Source organism: Homo sapiens, chromosome 7 (assembly GCF_000001405.40).
Source record: "Homo sapiens chromosome 7, GRCh38.p14 Primary Assembly".
Taxonomy (NCBI): domain Eukaryota; kingdom Metazoa; phylum Chordata; class Mammalia; order Primates; family Hominidae; genus Homo; species Homo sapiens.
Genome location: NC_000007.14, coordinates 48,911,211 through 48,931,391, shown reverse-complemented (window position 1 = coordinate 48,931,391; position 20,181 = coordinate 48,911,211). Strand labels below are relative to the sequence as shown.

The following is a 20,181-nucleotide window of genomic DNA, read 5'->3' as shown; positions in this document are numbered from 1 at the left end:
GATTTTCATTTATAGATGATAACCCAGGCTATGATGGAGATAAATACTGTAGTATAGGAAGTCAAGAAAGGAAATAAATAAACTGGTTAGATGGCTATTGCTGTGATCCAGGTGAATGAGGATAGGAAAAACTGCTGACACAATGAGGCAATGGGGAGAAGAGGAAGAATTCAGGGTGTGATTTGGAAGTAGTATTGCCATCTATGGTCATGTGCTGCATAATGATGCCACACATCAAAGATGAACCGCATGTGTGAGGACGGTCCCATGAGATTACAATGCAGCTGAATAACTCCTATTGCCTAGTGATGTCATATCACTATGAGGTAGCATAAAGCATTACGCACATATTTGGGGACATGCTGGTGTAGAGAAATCTACTATGTGGCCAGTTATATAAAATTATAGCAGATACAATGAAGTACAGTACATAATACTTGATAATTGTAACAAATGACTATGTTGCTGGTTTTGTATTTACTATATTATGCTTTTATTATTGTTTTAAAGTGTACTTCTACTTAAAAAAAAAGTTAACTGTAAAACATCTTCAGGCAGGTCCTTCAGGAGGTGTCCAGAAGAAAGTATTGTTATCACAGGAGATGACAGCTCCATGCATGTTATTTTCCCCGGAAGACCTCCCAGTGGGACAAGATGTGGAGGTGGAAGACAGTGATACTGACAATGCTGACCTGTGTGGGCCTTGGCTAGTGTATGTGTTTCTGTCTTAGTTTTTAACAAAAAGTTTAAAAAGTAAATAATAAAATTAAGATTTAAAAACAGAAAACAGCATATAGAATAAAAATATAAAGAAAGGAAATAATTTTGTACAGTTGCACAATGTGTTTTAAGCTAAGTCTCAATAAAGTAAAATAGTTACAGGAAGCTAGGGTTAATTTTTATCAGAGAAAAATATTTTTCAATAAATTTTATGTAGCCTAAGTGTATAGTGATTATAAAGTCTACAGTAGTGTATCCTAATGTTCTAGGCCTTCACATTTGCTTAGCACTCACTCACTGTCTCACCCAGGGCAACTTACAGTTCTGTAAGCTCCATTCATGATAAGCTCCCTATAAAAGTGTATCATTTTTTATCTGTCATACTTCCACCTTCCACCAACTTTTCTAAGTTTAGATAAACCAATATTCGCCATTGTTTTACAATTGCCTACCATATTTAGTACATGATGTACAGGTTTGTGGCCTAGAAGCAATAGGCTATACCATATAGTTTAGGTGTGTAGTAGGCTATCCCATCTTTGACTGTGTGAGTACACTGTATGATGTTTATACAATGATAAAATTGCCTAAGGATGCATTTCACTAGCCAAGTTTCTCCAGAAAAACAGAATCAATAAAATAGATGATTGGTAGGTAGATTAGATAGATAGATAGACACCTACCTACATACATACATACATACATATAGATATAGATCTAAAGATACATATGCTTTCACACTATGTAGATAGAATATAACAGATATCATATATCTGTATCTATATACACAATCTATAGGAAGATATTTATCATAAGGAATAGGCTCACGTGATTATGGATGCTGAGAAATCCTGTAATTTGATCGCTGCATGTTGGAGACCCAAGAAAACCAGTTGCATAATCCCAGTCTGAGTTTAAGGGCCCAAGAATCAGGGGCATCAATGTTGTAATTTCCAGTCTGAAGGCAGCAGAAGACCAATGTTCCAGCTCAAGCCTTCAGGCAAAGAGGAGAGTGAATTCATCCTTCCTTCAACTTTTTGTTCTATTCAGGTCTTCACCCGAGTAGATGATGCTGTACACCCACCCGAGGAAGGGCAATCTGTTCTACTCAGTCTACTGAATCCAATGTTAATCACATCCACAAATGCCCTCACAGATACCCCTAGAATGATGTTTGACCAAGTATCCAGGCACCCTATGATCCAGTTAAGTTGTCACATGAAAACTTGCCTAGGCCCAAGAAAAGAGAGAGGTAGCAATCACCCCTGTGAGAGGGCTAGAGGGGAAGGGAGGAAGTAGGTAGGGAATAGGCTAGGGGCATCAAGCTCAGAACGGGGAAATTCTGGAGGCCGGCAGACCCGCGTGCTGCCGGGAAGCACTGGCCACGCCAGGCCATTCTGCTCTCATGAGGAGCTGCTCTCCACCAAGTTCTACAAAAAGCCACGTCCGTCCCTACTTCCAGGAACCCAGTTTTGCAGATGCTCTTCCTCCAGACTGTCCTTGACTCTTGATAATTTTGAGTCCCCAGAAAGCTTCAAGGGCACCTAAAAATATTCACTTCTAATTTTAATTCCATCGCAAACTGTCCCGGTGTACTTTCAGGGCTATTTAAGGCTCTTAAGGGAATCTATCTGACAGACACAGTTTCATGTTCCATAGCAACAAGGTCTTCTATAACAAGGACTCTAATCCCAGAAGATTCTGGGTGTTTGTGGTTTTAGTTGGGGGTGAGGGGAAGAGTCCACTCTCATTCATAGCAGGAAGAACTTTCCATCCCTCAGACCCAGAGACTTCTTGGATTCTAGAGACGGTCCCCATAAGTCTAGAGACGGTCCCCGTAAGTGTAACACTGTTGCTATGCACACCATCCCAAGTCATTTGATTATTACAAGGAATGTTTCTTCACCAAATCACAAATTTTCTATGACTAATTTCAGTGAACCAGTTAAGCAGAAGGATTTTTAGAAAGAGTCACAGTGATAGCAATTCTAGGTGGAAACTTGAGCAGGCAACATGAAGAGGCAGTTTATAAAATGAAAAAGGACTGTGGTTCCACCAACACCCTTCCCTTTCTCGGACAAAACACCAGGAGGCTTGTTCACCGTGAGGGAGACAGTACTCACAAAAGCTGTGGCACCCACATTTACTTGTTCTGATGGGATGAAAAGCCAAACTAAGAAGGAATCAGATGGAAGCACAATTTTCACAACTACCTGGATTATTATTTATGAAGGGGATGGCCTTAAAAAGGGTAAGGGGAAGAAGAAGTGCCCTGAGAATTCAATGCTTTATGCATGGCACAGTTTAAATATTTGTATTGTCTCAGCTTAAAATAGCAAAAGGAATGTTCCTCCTCCCACCAAAATCTTATTGAAGAGTGGTCTTCCCACAGCCAAGTGGGTCTTTGTGCCTATTCATTTCCAGGGACAGAAAACCACTGTTTTTCTGTGATCCAGTCCCCAGTGTTTAAAAGCTAGCCTGACCCCACCCCATAGTGCTTGGCAGGGAAAGAGTCACTTGTTTGGCTGAGAATACGGCATCTTCCGTCTCTCATGATGCCGGTCAATTTCGTACTTTCTTCCAAGAAAGTACACCAAAATGGAGGCACTGCCTTTCAATTACTTTTTGCATTAAAGACTTTAACTTGTTTATTCCAACTGCTTTGGTTTCTTACAGTTTTATGAAAAAGGCAGCTTCTTAAAATGGAGTTGCCTCCTGATCTGGCGCACGCCTTGTGACTTAGGAGGGCATTTGTTTCCCACTGCCTGTCAACATCTCAGCCCTCCATGCTCCCAGCACAGGCAAAAATGGGTTAACAATCATTAAACCACCCACTTCTTATGGAAGGAACTGAGGTGAGTACTAAATATTCTTTTATTTTGGGCCCCCCCTTTTTTTTTTTAGCAGCGAAACAATTCTGTTTCTCTAATTTCTTCATGGCACAGACTCTGCTGTGTTCCAGTAGGGTTGCGGGAGAAGGCACTCTGCAGAGTTACTAGTTGTGTTCCCTAGCCAAAGGCAACAGTGAGATTCAGAAGCAGATCATTGTTACTGAGATCACAGGCCTTATCAATGGCCTTAGGCTGATCTCATAAGGAAAAAAAAATCCAATATTACAGAGAAGGACTCTAAAAAAGCGGTAACTTTTTTTTTTTAAAGCCGACATTATTTGGGATTGCTGTTTCCAAGGCGAAAAACCAATAGTGTGTTTTTTCCATGCATGGAAGGAAATATGATTTTAATTTGTATGACTGGCAACCAAACAATGGGCAACCTCCCAGTTCTTCAGTCCCTAAAGGACAGAAAAAGGAATGACTTGCAACATCTTCCAGCTCTGAAGTCAGTTTCTCCTCCTGAGTCTTCTAAAGCTACCACTAATATTCTCTTGCAAGTTTTAGGTTACCAAGGTATCACCTGGTATTACAACATGCAACAGTGTTTAAAATGTGGTTTTCACAGATTCTTGTTAATAAAGCACTCTTTGGTAGAAGACAAGCAGCTTGGGTACTTATCAGAGTTAATATTACTACAGTATTACAAACAGTCAAGTGAAGATGGTAAAGCCAAATAGTATCAAATTACAGAAAGTACCATTTCAGTAATGCCTTTTGTATCTTTACAAATTTTGACACAGGGTCACAAGCTGAACAGAAAATAAATACATTAAAAAACCTCCATCAGATCCTCAATTCTTCTGAAGGCCATCAACTACAATGCTTGCCATCACAAGGACACACATGCACCACAGACCAGCCAGCTCCCTGAGTACCAGAGGGCTTGGGTATTTACACCTGAGACTAAATTTACAACAGCATTTTTGTCATTCAGCTTGAGAGCTGGGCCTTTCTTTGAGTCATTCTTTTTGGGAGCAAGCCCCCCAAAATCCAGCCATAAACTGGCCCCAAAACTGGCCATAAATAAAATCTCTGCAGCACTGTAACATGTTCATAATGGCCCTAATGCCCACGCTGGAAGGGTGTGGGTTTACCGGAATGAGGGCAAGGAACACCTGGCCCACCCAGCCCAGAGTGGAAAACTGCTTAAAGGCATTCTTAAGCCACAAACAATAGCATGAGCCATCTGTGCCTTAAGGACGTGCTCCTGCCGCAGTTAACTAGCCCAACCTATGCCTTTAATTAGGCCCATCCCTTCGTTTCCCATAAGGGATACTTTTAGTTAATTTAATATCTATAGAAACAATGCTAATGACTTGTTTGCTGTTAATCAATATGTGGGTAAATCTCTGTTCGGGGCTCTCAGCTCTGAAGGCTGTGAGACCCCTGATTTCCCACTTTACACCTCTGTATTTCTGTGTGTGTGTCTTTAATTCCTCTAGCACCACTGGGGTAGGGTCTCCCTGACTGAGCTGGTCTTGGTACATTTGCTTGCACCCAAACTCAAAAGTTCATTACTGAAACCCCGTGGACATTTTCCCCATTGATTAGCTTCTTAGGTGGAAAGCAACTAAGTCTTTTGCAATTTTGTTTTGTTTTCAAATTGTGCTAATTTCTGTTGCAGTTTTCAGTTCCTAGAGTCTTCCTTCAGTTCTGGTCACAGGTTTTTACTTAATGCAAAACCATTTTAGTCCTTGAAATGGAGAGAAGCAGCTATCTGTCAGGGGGTCCTGATGGCTACTATGTTCTGAAATCTTTGAGTCAGAATAGCAGGATGGGAAGAATGTAGTCACAAACAATCCACCAGATGACAACACTACACAGTGTAAAGGTCAGCACAGCCAGGGGAGATGGGAGAAGAATATCGTTTGTTTTTGATTGTCTTCGCCTTTTCAGGGCCCGACTTCTATCACCTTGTGTCACTCCATTGATTTCGTCGTCATCACTGTAAGGTTTGGGTTCTTGCTGGTCTTGATTCTCGACCCCATTTATGGAAATGTCATCAACACCAGAGAGAAGTTTGGAGAAGGCTGCTCTGTGTTGTCCATTCTCCTGCCCCTTTAACCTCTGACGAAAATAGTCCCCTTCCAGCCAGAGGCTTGTTTGCTTCATCACCAAAAACTGCTGCTGAGGCCCGATCACCAAGCCAGGTCTGCAGATCCTTACCCACGCAATGGTCTCGGCTGCTGTCATCCTGTAATGCTTCATGATGTAGCAGGCTATCAGAGTGCCTGTGCGACCAAGGCCAGCTTTACAATGTACTGCAATGGCACCCTCAGCATTTTCACAGATATCCAGAAATCTTTTGACAATGGCATCAGTAGGGGTGCTGCCATCCGCAAAGAAAAGATCATGGTGATCGAAGCCAGCATCCGTAAAGCGTTTGGCATCATACATCCTTTTATTCAGACGAATAATGGTAGTAACATTGTGATTCTTAAAATATTGAATATAAGTCTCGGGAGAATGTTGGTGGTAACCACTTTCAAGTCTGGCTCTTGAATGAGGTCCACAGAAGGCAATAAATCGGTCTGGTATTATCCAATTTAAATCTCCGTTTTCTGCTTTTTCATAGTGTTCATATTCATCAAGGTTAAATGAGTTGAAATTAAGGAAGCCATACTGCATTGCCTTCTTTACTGCATGAAAACAGTCAAGAAGTGTAATGTAGAAATTGCAGCTTCCATAGGCAGCATCTCTGAAAGGAATATAGGGTGTATCTCCAAAGATTAATATTCTATATGCTGCTTCTGGGGTTCTCCCCAAGTATATAACCATGTAGCATCCAACAAGGAAGGCAGCATTTGCTTGTTTTCTCTGATCAGAGCCAGTAAAATGAACAATTTTCTTCCTTAACATTGTAATGGACTTTAATTTCTTATTTATCTTGCAACAATATCTGTAAACCATTGCCAGATTGAGTGGTCCAAAGTCTTCGGAGAAGTTCTCATATTCGAGTTCATTATCTATGCTGAAATAATGTACATTTGATGCACTCTTTGGTCTGCTGTAGAGAATGGCAAAACGAAGGCGATCGGTGATGTCCACGTACACGTCGTCCTGGGGGTCCCGGCGGCGCGGGTCCTGCAGCGTGGAGCTGCGCATCTTCTTCACACCCTGCGAGGTCAAAGAGCAGCGCGGCGAGCAGTGGGGCGCGGCGGCCCAGCTCGACCGCCCCTTGCTTTTCCGCTTCCTGGAGGCCGCCGCGGCCAGTCAGGGAGCAACGACCACGGCCCCGCGCGCGCCGCCAAGGCTGGCGCCAGTGCCGCGCGGGCTCTCAGGACGGCGGGCACAGAGCGGCATTGCAGGGACGGCGGGAGCCGGCGGAGCCCGAAAAGAGGCGGTGGTGCAGGAGCCAGAGGAGGGGCCTGGCCCACAGCGCCTGCCCCGCTCCCTCCCGCAACCGCCCTCCCTTTGCTTTTTTAAACCATGAACTGAAGGGCTATATCATACTGACATCAACAAAGTGTTGGATGAATAAGTCATCATGCTCTTGTCATAGCAACCACCTGGATCTTAACCTTCTCTCCAGTCTCTGGAAATTCAGCCAAATAAGTGTTACTTCGAGTATGACTTTATTACCAAATGACAGTATTTTTGAAGCACTCATTTAGGATCCATTAAAAGTTGGAGGTTGTGACCATTTGATATTGAAAGTCATGCCTGCTTGGAGACAAGTTAATGTTGACATATTGCTCTTTCACCAACTCTCCCAATACCCCAACCTTGGAAACATGGGGCCACAAGATAGTTAAATAGATAGTTTAAAAGATGGCATTTCTTTTTTCTGTTCTATGTGGGCTTTCCAAAGAAAAGTCTTGGAGAAGCTAAACAATGTGTGTAGAAGATCACACAGGGATATCACAAGTGATAAATTTTATACCCAATGTCATCCCAAAGCCAATGTGCAGCTTTGCACTCCTTGGCAACGGAACAGGCCTCTCTCCTTCACAAAAGAGAGCTTCGTGAAGCTTCATCCCTAAGTTTTGGTTTGGGGGTAAAATAAAGAAGAGGACTGATGGGTTGTTCTTGAGCTTACTACTCATTCATACATCTTCTTGCCCTTTCTGTTTGGTGGGATTTCCCCTAATCATTTATATCCTTCTGGTGTCCACAAGGAGTGAGACCTAAATTCCCAATTAGATAGGCTTTATGAAATTTTAAAAGTAAATGTATATATTAGAGTTAGTTTAGGAGAAAGGAGAGAAGAGTAAAAGAAGATGGGTAAAGATTCATATTTGTCCTTAAAGATTCAAGCTTCTGGATGCCACAAATATTTTGATTAATGGGGACCTCAAGAATAATTTTGCTCACCACTGTCCCAATGCTTGCCCCCCGTCCACAATATTTCTGTCCAGTGAATGCATTGTATTTTCTTTTCTCCAGTTTCTGTTGGAATACCCGTATCTGATAGGAAACACACGTCTGAAGGCATGCAGTGAGGATGTTGATTTCCCTTGCCTTTTCTTATCATTTATTAATAGATTCAGAAACAATTTACTGAATGTTTGCTCTTTGCTAGAGACCTGGTTCTTGCTAAGAAATGCGACTTTTCATATGAGACAGTCTTGCTCTTGGAATTTGCTTGTATAGTCACCACACTATCCATGAACACTTAGACCCCTGTTTATAATAATTTTAAAAATCCTAAAGACAACTGATTAGAAAAGTCACTTCATCCAGGTTGGGCCACTCAGATCCCTTCTTCTATGAGGTAAACTTGAGTCCCAGAGCCCCTCCTTATTCTCTTTGCGGTCCCCGAGTGAAATGCTCATGTAAAATTTAATCTGGGTAGCCATATCTGAAATAAGTGAAAGGTAGGCTGAGAAGGCCATGCTTCTAAGAAAAAGTAATAAAGCAGACTCCTAGAGAGAAACAACAATGATTGACCACGTGGCACCAGAGACGATGGAGACTGTTATCTACCCTTTCAGCCTGAGGTGGTTTCCCTCTAGTTATTGGCATTTGCTTCTCAAGAGATCTTCTCCTTAAGTTCCGGAGATACTATCTTATTCTTCCTTCCCCAGTCCTCCTGCAATTGTCTGGCTAGTCTGAGAGTGTTTGTATCTACAACTCAATGATTTCTGCCTAGGTCTTTGTTATTCAGGTAGCCACAGGAACAGACTCTTTTGACACATCTGAAAAGATATGTCCATGGCCGCTTCTCTGTGGGAGGAAAGTAAAGGGCTCTACTTTTCTCAGAGAGGTTATTTATTTTTCATTGTTGAATCCCTTTTGCTCCTTCTACCTTTACTGTTGAACTCCAATGTGTGTGGAGGGTGTTGGGCATGGAGAAAGTTTTATTTTCTCACCCAAATTAGCTACCATTTTGACCACCATTTCTGCATAAGGTGGGATATACAGACAACTAGAGGAAGGTTTAAAGAGCAGTCTACTAATTGTCTCCAAGATCGTCTAAACTTTACAGAGTCAAGGCTGTGTGGAAAAGTAAGCTATTCTGTAAGGTTGGATCAAACAAAAGGGGAGGTTCTCACTGGTCATGCTTATTGAAAACAAAACCCAACAAATGAGGATAACTAAATTACAATGACCAAACAGGGTTGTCATGATGCCACAGTTACTCCCCTGAAATTCCTGTACCTTTTTACTTATAAGAATTCCAGGAGCTGGGTTCATCACAAACTGATAATGACTATTCCAAGAAGTGCTGTAGCCTTTAGCCAATCATCTGTTAGCTCCTTTCTGTTGACCAATGGTATTTCTGGATGAACAGGCTGAGACCACCTTGGTATACCTCTTCGTTTTGTCCTTAAAAATCTGCTTGTAACCTCCCCAGCTGAAAGCACTTCTCTGACGTAGTTTGCATATGTGTTTCCCGGGTTACACTCCTCAAATTTGGCCAAAACAAATTCTTTACTTATGCTAATTTTGCCTTAGACTTTTATTTCAGATCAACATTATGGATGCCTTAGATGGATGTGTTTTAGGTGACCCAGTTGTTCAATGGGTCGCCTCCATTCTTTATCTCTTTCTAAAACCTCTTATTCTTCCCTTAGTCTTATTCTTTTAAGTCTTTCCCCCATCCTAAATTCTAGTCCTCATTTTTTGTCTATTTTAGTTACTCTTCCCTAAATACATATCCAATCCCGAATCTCCTCTGAATTTTATGGTGAGATTATTATCCCCAGCTCCTCACAGCTGCTTGTTTATGCTCCTGGGGAAAGAGAAACTATGGCATCAGTCATGGAGTCACCTCTGCAGCCTGGCTTTCTCCCTTCCCTTTCGTTTGAGCTCCAGCTATAAGCTCGTTCCCAGAAGCTATACTTGCTTTGGCGCTTATACTCATTCTGTTCCCTCTATGTAAAGTAAATATTCTCCTACATTTCCTAACTTTGTAGCTTACAATCCTCTGTCCAAACTTGGTGGTTCCCAGAGTACTTGCATCTTATTTGATTGTTTGGTCACTGCACCTGAGAATTTGCCGTGTGTAATTCTGCATAAAGAAATACTGTATGGTAATATATTCAACATACTATCTCACATGCTTACCTGATACATCTGCTTGTATGGCTGTGAAGTTTAAATAACTTAAAATACAAAAAAATTAGGGCTATTGGATTTGGGAAATACAAGAGTTGTAAAATGACTTATTAAATAATACAACAGTAAATGCTTTTATGGCTTCTAGTTATTTTTCAAGCTGGAAATTATTTGGCATATAAGAAAATGCAGGAATTCAAGCAAGATATTTGTCATAAAATAAAATGATTAAGGTGGGGATTTCATGTGGTTCTTTTATTTGCTCCTCTTGCGTCAGAACAATTCAGGAGGTTTGTGCTTATGAGCCGTTTATGACACTTAATTCGTCTTTAAATTAAGGCATATTTTCACTCCAGGATTGTTTTTCCCCTCCATATAAAAATAAAAGACAAGCTTTGTAAGGCCTATGAACAGTTTAACTAAGTTGCTTGCCCTTCATGCCAGTGACAAGTAATGAGTAAGAACTAGTAGGTGTCATTGAGAAAACAGACATTGTCACTCCAGTGTCAATCAAAATTATCTGGTAGTGAAAACTGGACTTTAAATTTTAAAAATAATGTGAGAGCTGCTAGAAAAATTATGAAGAATTGAGTAGGGTCACAGCACTCGACAAATCTTCCAATTTCTCTGCCACTGGCTTAGTGTCACCTGTACATTTTCTAGTCTAAAAGAATGTAATAGCCCAACAGGGTCAGCAGCGATATGCACCTCTCCCAAATACATTTCTGTTTACATTCCTGAGGTCCAATTATGATAACAATGACATAATATGAATTCTAAACACATTTGTATTGTTGATATAGTAAGAAATTTTTCAACTAATTAGAAAATTCTACCTTTTAAAACTGCACAGTTAATAAATATAACACATACGCATGTGCTGCTGTTTCTGCTTTTGTTTTTTGTTTTAGCTAAGAGCTAAGCCTATGACTACTACTTCAGGAATGTTTGTCAATTTAATATGAGCTGAGGACCATCGCACTTCTAGCCTTCAAGCTTGTATTCTATCAGGAAGAAGGGATAGAGAAGAATTGGTAGAAAACATTGTATATCTTTGCCAGGCACATGTTTGTAGTCCCAGCCATCTGAGAGACTGAGGTAGAAGAATCACTTCAGCCCAGGAATTCAAGACCATCCTGGGCAACATAGTGAGACCTTGTCTTTAAAAATAAATAAATACAAGTAAGTTTTAAAATAAAATAAAACAAAATATGTGTTTTTTAAAAAATTGTATGAACTCAACATATAGGTAATTTTCTTCATTTGTTTCATTATTAATGAAATTAAGGAAATACAAATATTCATTTTAATACAGATTTATTACTTAGAAGTGTTTGAACATCTTTACACTATTTACTCTTTTATCACAAACCCTTCATTGCTTTTTATTCTTGGCACCATTCTTAGGAAAATGGAGACCACAGCACCAGCTTCTCCCTGCAAATCCCCATTTGTGCTTGAGCAGCCAAGTGGTTCACACTTCTTGCCACATTCAGAAGAAACTTCATTCATTATGCCAAAAATAACTGAGAAATAATGAGAATGTTTCCTATAAAGTCTAAAAATCATACTAAAGAGGGGATCCATTTATACTGCTGTTAGGAATTGAATTGTGTTCCTCCTTTCAGATTTCTGTGTTGAAGTCTTGATCCTCAGAACTTCAGAATGTGACTGTATAAGAATACTGGAGTAGGTTGGGCCCATCATCTTATATGACTTGGGTCCCCATACAAAAAGGAAATTTGGATATCTCAACCTGAATGAAAAAAAGATAATCCATATATACCAACTTTAAGGTGAACCAAATATTAAAATTATCTAACAAAGATTTTAAAGCAGGTGAATTGAAAATGCTCCAACAAGCAACCAACCACAGATGAAAAATATTAAAAAATAATAAACAGCAATACGATAAAAATAATACATATAAGAAACCAGTATAGTATAACAACTATTTACATTGTATTAGGTATTCTAAGTAACCTAGAGATGATTTAAAGTATACAGGAAGATGTGCATAAGTTATATGCAAATACTACACTATTTTTTATCAGAATCTTGAGCATCCTCATATGTTGATATTCAAGAGGGGTCCTGGAACCAATCAATCACCCATGGATACAGAGGAATGACTGTACACAGCAAAAAAACAAAACAAAACAAAAACTAGAAAGCGTCAGCAAAGAATTAAACAATTCAGCAAAGACACAAAAACATAAAGACTTTGAGAGAAAAGAGGAGACCAGTTGGGCACAGCTGCTGTAATGTGATAAACAGCTTTGAAAAACTAGGTAATTTTACTTTTTTATTTGTGGTTACATTAGTTTGCTAGGGACAATCACTTTAATCATTTTTCTCCTGAGTATGATGTCCACCTGTATTTCTAAAACAATTGGCTTATGTCATAATTTCTTGTTTTTCAGATTTTTGTTTTGTTTTTTTTTTGAGATGCAGTCTCGCTGTGTCACTCAGGCTGGAGTGCAATGGCATGATCTCGGCTCACTGCAACCTCCGCCTCCTGGTTTCAAGCAATTCTCCTGCCTCAGGCTCCCGAGTAGCTGAGATTACCGGCACCTACCACCATGCCCAATTAATGTTTGTATTTTTAGTAGAGACAGGGTTTTGCCATGTTGGTCAGGCTGGTTTTGAACTCCTCACCTCAGGTGATCCACCCACCTCAGCTTCCCAAAGTGCTTGGATTACGGGCATGAACCACTGCGCCTGGCCCTGTTTTTCAGTTTTAAGAATTGTCTGTTGACTTGCTGCTATGCAAAATGAGGATACCATTGTTGAACACACACACACACTCACCACCTCCTTTCATTTTCCCAGGGTAGTTTTGGATTAGAGCAATATCCTATGTTACATTTCTAGGATAAAATGTATATTATCTGCTTCTGAATGGTGGAATATATTTTGAGATAAATTACTTCCTATATGCATTTCTTAAATTACCAACTTACCTTATATTTTTACTTTTCTCTTTCTTTTAAGCTTCTTCATTGTTTGCTATCCAAGTTACAGTCTAATTTGAGACTTTCTGAGGATTGATCAGAGTCTGTCCTTGGCAGTGGGAAAAGTGGAATGGAAAAAGTCTTTTTGCTTTTTTAGTTTTGTTTCCATTTTGAATTCCATACATGTGTTATTTTGATAAAAAATTAAAATGTTGTAAGAGAAATAAAAGCAATTACTAGGAGCTTAGAAGAAGTTAAAACTTTTTTAAGTACTTGAGATTATTATATGCTCCCACTGTCCACCGATTTTATAAAGAGAAGTTGAGGACCAGAGAGACTGAGAAAACAGCACCATTCCACAGTTAGGGGAGCCAGGGCTTCAGCCCACATCTGTCTGACTTCCAGTCCAATCTCTGTGCAATACCTTAATGAGAGGTGGGGGGAAGAAGCAAGGGTGACATGGGTTGGCATGCTGTCTGTTCAGAGGATACCTTCCAGGCTTGGAGAACAACACTGTGATGAGGCACCATGATTCAATTTGTAGCCAGAAAGGTAATCCACGTCACAAGGATGACAGGGCTGAATTACAGAGGGCTGGGAGCTTCTGTCAGGATTAACTGGTCACCTGAGTAGAAGAAAAGACACTCAGCTGTGAAGCAAAATGAAACAATTACGATAAGAAGGCCCCGCTCAGGTTTACTTGCAACTATGAAGTACTGTTTTCTAGACTTGAGCTTAGTTTGGGCAAATTAGCAAATTTATATATAAATGAACAAAGGAAGACCGTTTCTTGATCAAATTAGTCAAAATCCAGTGCCATGTGTCTTCCTTGCTAATGTTAGTTTACTTCAAAAATGGGTTATTTATGCTAATCTTTCATCCATCACCCCAAATCAATTAGCAAAGTGCGCAATTGCTTAACAAGTAATGCCTATATTATAAAATACTCTCTAATACCTTAAGATGATGTATAAATGTTGGGTTTTATTTGTACCTCTCACTATCCCTTTATGTTACAGGCAATAATACAGCAGGCCATTAATGTCTATTAAGTAATTGCTTGTTTATTAAGCACTTAACTGAAGTGCTTCTCATTAACACAGGGGGAATTTAAATAAGAAAATAATAGGAAAATAAATTGTTGACAAATGGATGTCATGGCATATGGCTACTGTTGTCAAGGCTTGCAGTGATCAGCATCTCACCTTTTTTCTTCTTTCACATACTTATCACATTTCTTTTGTGTTCTAGTGTCTGAGCTAGGTGTTGGGGGTGCAGAAATATTCTACAAGCAGTCCTAATCCTGAGGACATGGAGGAAAGAGCCACCACCTGTCTGTCTTCAGGGGAAAGGTAATGCTTTAGTGAGATGTTAAGCTTGAGTGGAAGTTTTTCCATCAGAAGAGGGTGGAAAGGCTCACTCTGAAAGGGCACAAGGCTACACCAAGGCTTGTTTCCTTTGCCTCTGAAGTGTCCAGTCATCATGAGCAGGTCTTGCTATGGCACTAAGTGTTTTATCTATGAAAATATGATTCTTTAGAAATATTTTTCCTGGTAGTTATGATAAACTCCTTTAAGATTTTAATGGAATATAATTTACTTCACATACGTAGGCTCTAAGGCAAGCTTGTCCAACCTACAACCCGCGGGCCACATGTGGGCCAGGACAGCTTTGAATGCGGCCCAACACAGATTCATAAATTTCTTAAAACATTATGACATTTTTTGCAATTTTTTTAAAGCTCATTAGCTATGATTAATATATTTTATATGTGGCCCAAGACAATTCTTCTTCTTATAATGTGGCCCAGGGAAGGCAAAATTTGAATACCCTGCTCTAAGGCTAACAGATCTTCATATAAATCCCAAATCCTCTGCTCTTTACCATGTGACTTCAATGTACTACATCTACTTGAAATTGTCTCCTCATTTTGAAATTATAAATAGCATAGCCTACGTGCTAGAGTTATGTTGAGTATTAAATGATAGAATGATAGTAACTAGCACACTGTTTTTCATCTCATTTTGCTTTATTTCATGTGACTGTGTTATACTATCTAATGTGAATGAAAAATAAACAAGATTTGGTTCTTTGCAAAGAAGAAAGTTCTAAAGCCTTAGAAGTTAGTGTCAAGTTTCTATGACCTTTCAGAAATGTATTCATGGATCAATAGATACATTGAAAATGGATATTTATGAACATCATTGCGTAAGTTCAAGAAAAAGAGAAAAAAGTGATATTGACAATGGCTGAATGTTGCATGATGTCTTTCCTCATAGAATCAGAGTCATGAAAGTATTTCTGAGATGAAGAAATATTTCTGAGACTGGGCCTTGATATAAGCTGTAACAAGGCTAAAGTAGGCCTTTCTCTGGGCTAGGGACACATTAAGAATCTGGAAATAATATGCATATAGTAGCTGTTTAGGCCACGCCTGGCAAGTATTCTGGGTATATATTTCCTTTAAGAACATAACCAGTGAGATTAGCTTGAGTGCTATTGATTTGGCTGCCATTCATCAAAAAAAAAATGAAGAAAAGTAGACAAAGAATTTAAATTAGGGGTTAGATCTGCTGAAAATTATAAGGCTGAGATTTCCTTTTTCAGTGAAAATAACTTAAGAAGCTTAATTACTAAGTTAGGAATTTCTAATATTCCCTCAATTCCAATACACACACACACACACACGCACACACACACACAACTTGAAGTTTTCTCCTCCAAATACTTACAATGTTTTATAATTTGAATGCCACTCCAATAAATATGTTCCTGAAACTGTTCTGAATCTTCATTCCAGACCCCTCTTTAGCTAGCTGAACATTCCCAGCGAGTGAGTAAGTCCAATATGGTATTGATTGCTGTTTTGGTGTTAGGTATTAAAAAAGATTATCATTATTGACAAGAAACTAGTCTCTCACTTTGCCCTGTTGGACATTACCTGAATTGTAGCCAAGAGTAGCCTTCAGAATCTGTGTGTGAGGGTAACCATGACCTTGAGTAGCCATCTCTGAACACTGCAGGAAACAGGAAAGGAGGCATGTGAGGTAGAAGCTCACATTTTTCCACAGCACTGATTTTTGGCTGCTGTTCACCTTGCAGGCTCTTCTGGGAGGCTTCACAGATCCGGATAAATGATGGTCTCTGCTAATGTTACATGTTAGAAAAGCAGACTGCGGGTTGGCCAGGATAGCTGACCAGAAACACCAGTATTATAGGTCACCTACTAAATTCCAGCTCTAATGATATACTTTTGGAAAATATAAAGAAATTTTCTGTTACTTAATGGCAATTGATAGATTGCTTATTTTACTTTTATTTGAAATGTTTCAGAAAAATTCCATCCATGTAGGCTCCAGGACAGAGTGGGCTCTTCTCATGATTCCTCTAAAATAACCTGGCCTGGACTGGACACTCTTACCTATCATAATCCCATTATTTCAGTGTCTGGCCTGTAAGCTGATATGTTCCATAATGGGCCTGCACTTAGCACTTCTATGAATCTCTTAGTTCTTGATATTCTCTCATATTTATGCGTCATTCTCCCCTAAAGCTCATAAGCCACCAGGATGGTACAGTGTATTCTCAAAAGCATCTAACCATGCTCAGCATTTAATTGTCATATAAAATGCTCTCTAAATTACAGAGGATGACAATTCGTATTTTAGCTTCAAATTATCTATTTTGAGAGGGCTAAAGTAAACAATTTTATATGCAGATGATTATTTAAATGGTAAATGATTTGTGGAAAATATAACAACTTGAAAGCGGAATATGAGTTGTAGTCTTTGTTCGGCCTAAAAGTGTCCAAGCTGTAAGTTATAGGAATAGTCCATGTAAATCCAGCTCATCTGAAGCTCTTTTACTAATTCACTGTGCAGCATAAGCCCACTCACTTTGTCCCCATGTGATTTAATCACCTACGTAGAGTGAAATTACTAGATAAAACTCTTTCCAATGGGAACACGGTCAGGCTCCTTGTATAAGAATTTAATTTCCTTGATTACATTGAATGTAAAATGGAATAACATTAAGTAGAGTATTTATTTTTACCACTGATATAAGGACTCCAGTTTCAGCTCAGACATGTAAAGACCTGGGAAGTCGTTATATCTGCCCCACAGCAACAAGAGATCTGAGCAAAATGAAAATCAATGACTTTTCTTGGACCCATCAGAAAACTGAGGTTGTAGCATTTGTTAGTCTGCATTGCTATGAAGGAATACTTGAGACTGAGTAATTTATAAAGTTAGTTGGTATATTTTGGCTCATACTTCTGCAGGCTGCATGGGAAGTGTGGTGATCTGCTTCTGATGAGGGCCTCAGGAAGCTTACAATCATGACAGAAGGTGAAGGGGAGCCATTGTCATGTGTCAAGAGAGGGCACAAGAGAGAAGGGGCTAATTTTGTGTTTTTAGTAGAGGCAAGGTTTCACCATGTTTGTCAGGCTGGTCTCAAACTCCTGACCTAAGGGATCTGCCCCCCTCAGCCTCCCAAAGTGCTGGGATTACAGGCGTGAGCCACCCTGCCTAGCATGGTGGTGCATGCCTGTAATCTCAGCTACTTGGGAGACTGAGGCAGGAGAATCACTTGAACCAGGGAGACAGAAGTTGCAGTGAGCTGAGATCATACCATTGTACTCCAGCCTGGGCAACAAGAGCAAAACTCTGTCTCAACAACAACAACAAAAAAAAAAAAAAAAAGAGAGAGAGAGAGAATACGGGAGGTTCCAGTCCCTTTTAAACAAACAGATCTCACATGAACTACTAAAGTGAGAACTCGCTCATTATTGTGATGACAGCACCAAGCCATCCATTAAGGATCTGCTTCCATGACCCAAACTGTCCTCACTAAACCCCACTTCAAAACTGGAGATCACATTTCAACTTGAAAATTTAAGGGGTCAAACATCCAAACTATATCATAGGGAAAAGTGACATCCCGACATCTGGAGAGAAGGCTCCAGCATTTTCTCATCTGAAACAGGAGCCACTGTATATTATATAAGCCAATCAAAAATTAAAAATTGTATAGAACTTTTGGAGGCTGCGGGTGGGCTAGTGTGAGAATGTGAAGCTTCCAAAGGCTGTATTCCTAGGAGAGAGTTCCACTCTCTTGTGAGCTTTTTGTCCAGGAACTCACCCAACATTTACAAAGGGGAACAAAGAAGAACCTAGAAAAAGTTCATCCCTCACTCCTTTCCCCACACACACTGTAGTGCTGGCTGGGGTTGGTGGAAGAAGCAGCCACTGCCAAATCTACCCAGACTATTTCCAACTATGTACTTCATGGATAAAAGGCTTAATCTGGAGGGAAAATTATCAAAGTTAACCCTGAGACACTGTTTTAATTTATTAAACTGAAAGATGGAAATAGAGATCACCACCAAATCTCCAACCAGAAGCATAATCCCAGTTTCCCCTAAGCAACCAAAGTCTCAATCTGCAGGAGAAAAGGCTTCAAAACCACTGCAATTTGGGAAAAAGAAGAGGAGCAATAAGATGAGGAAGAATTTTTATCCCAGGAAAAGGGACAGGAATAGCTGTGAAGGCTACATGTCCAGGACTTAGGTTTTGATACGTGCCAAAATCTTTAGCTAAATGTGAACATCAGATAACCTTCTTCTTAGCCAGGACCACCACCACTGTAAAAAACAGCAGTAAAAGTAGCAGTGGAATACAACTGTGAAGAGGCACATGGGGAGACTCAGTCAAGTGGGAGCCAAAAAAGGGCACCAATGGAGTGGCCAGAAAGCGCTGGTGCCCATGGCACAAACAGTTTCAGATGCAGCTTGTCTTCTGACCAGATGAACATCCATCTCCACATTTAAGGCCTCACACAAGGAAACTTGTGCTTTTCTCCCAACATATAAAATTTATCTAATATCTGCTGTTCTTTTCATGTCTAGCTATAACCAAAAAATTATAAGGAATATTAAAAAGCAAGAAAAAAAGTCATTAAGTGACAAAGCAATTGTTAGAACTAGACAGAGCCATGACACAGAGGCTGGAATTATCAGACAAGGAATTTGAAAAAGAAAACTCTGCTTAACATGTTAACGGCTTCAATGGAAATGCTAGACAAAATGACAACACTCAGTGCCAGGTGGATAATTTGAATAGAGAGATGGAAATTATAAGAAAAAATCAAATTGAAATACTGGAAATAAAAATATAGCAATGGAAATGACAAATTCCTTTGATGGACTCATTAGTAGACTGGACATGGCTGAGGAAAGAATCAGTAAACTTAAACATAGGTTTATAGAAACTTACTAAACTGGAAGCAAAGAGAAAAAAAATGAAAAACAAAACCAGAACACTAATAGAACATCCCAACACTGTGGGACACAATCAAATAGTGTAACATATGCATAGTTGCATTCTGAGAATAAGAAAAGGAGAAGGGAGTATAAAAAAAATTGAAGAAATAATGACTGAGAATTTTCTAAAACCAATAAACAAAACTACAGGCCTAAGGAGTTTAGAGGAAAAAAAACAGAATTAATACTGAAAACACACACACACACACACACACACACACACACACACACACACTCACACTCACAAACACACACCCCATATCCTATTCAAACTCCCCTGAAGCCAGGGCAAAAAGCAAATCTCCAAAGAAAGTGGGAAAAAAAAATCATGCTGGTCACAGAGGAACAAGGATAAGAATTACAGCAGACTTCTCATCATAAATTATGCAAGCAAAGAGACAATGGCATGGTATACTTAAAGTGTAGAAAGATAAAACAGAAAGATAAACACAAAAATCTGTCATATATAGAGCAAAAATATTCTGCAAAAGTGAAAAAGAAATAATGAAGGCTTTCTCAGTCAAAGAAAACTAAGTGAATTCATGGCTAGCAGATATCTCCTAAAAGAAATGGGAATAAAATGGAATCACAAACATACAGACACAAAATTTAAAAATAAATGTGATCTCTGTCAGCATAGGGCAAGATCCTTGCTTGTTCTAGTCTCCAATATGTAACAGAAGGCCCACCCTCTGATCCCAGCAGGAGCTTGGGTGCCTCTTCTAATTCCAGGTAAGAGATGAGAGCTTTTGCATGAGCTGCAGTCATGAATCCAGGGGATTGGCAGCAG

General features: G+C 39.6%; 1 protein-coding gene across 1 annotated transcript; it reads right to left on the bottom strand.

The window, feature by feature from the left end:
• Positions 1-3,937: 3,937 nt before the first annotated feature.
• On the bottom strand, positions 3,938-6,845 carry CDC14C (cell division cycle 14C). Its single transcript, NM_152627.3, has one exon. The coding sequence runs from the start codon at positions 6,717-6,719 to the stop codon at positions 5,376-5,378; it is 1,344 nt and encodes a 447-aa protein (NP_689840.2). The 5' UTR covers positions 6,720-6,845; the 3' UTR covers positions 3,938-5,375.
• Positions 6,846-20,181: the final 13,336 nt, after the last annotated feature.

What these genes read in the sequence shown, in the direction of transcription:
- CDC14C (NM_152627.3), bottom strand. Translation starts at nt 6,719, where the DNA reads ATGCGCAGCTCCACGCTGCAGGACCCGCGCCGCCGGGACCCCCAGGAC.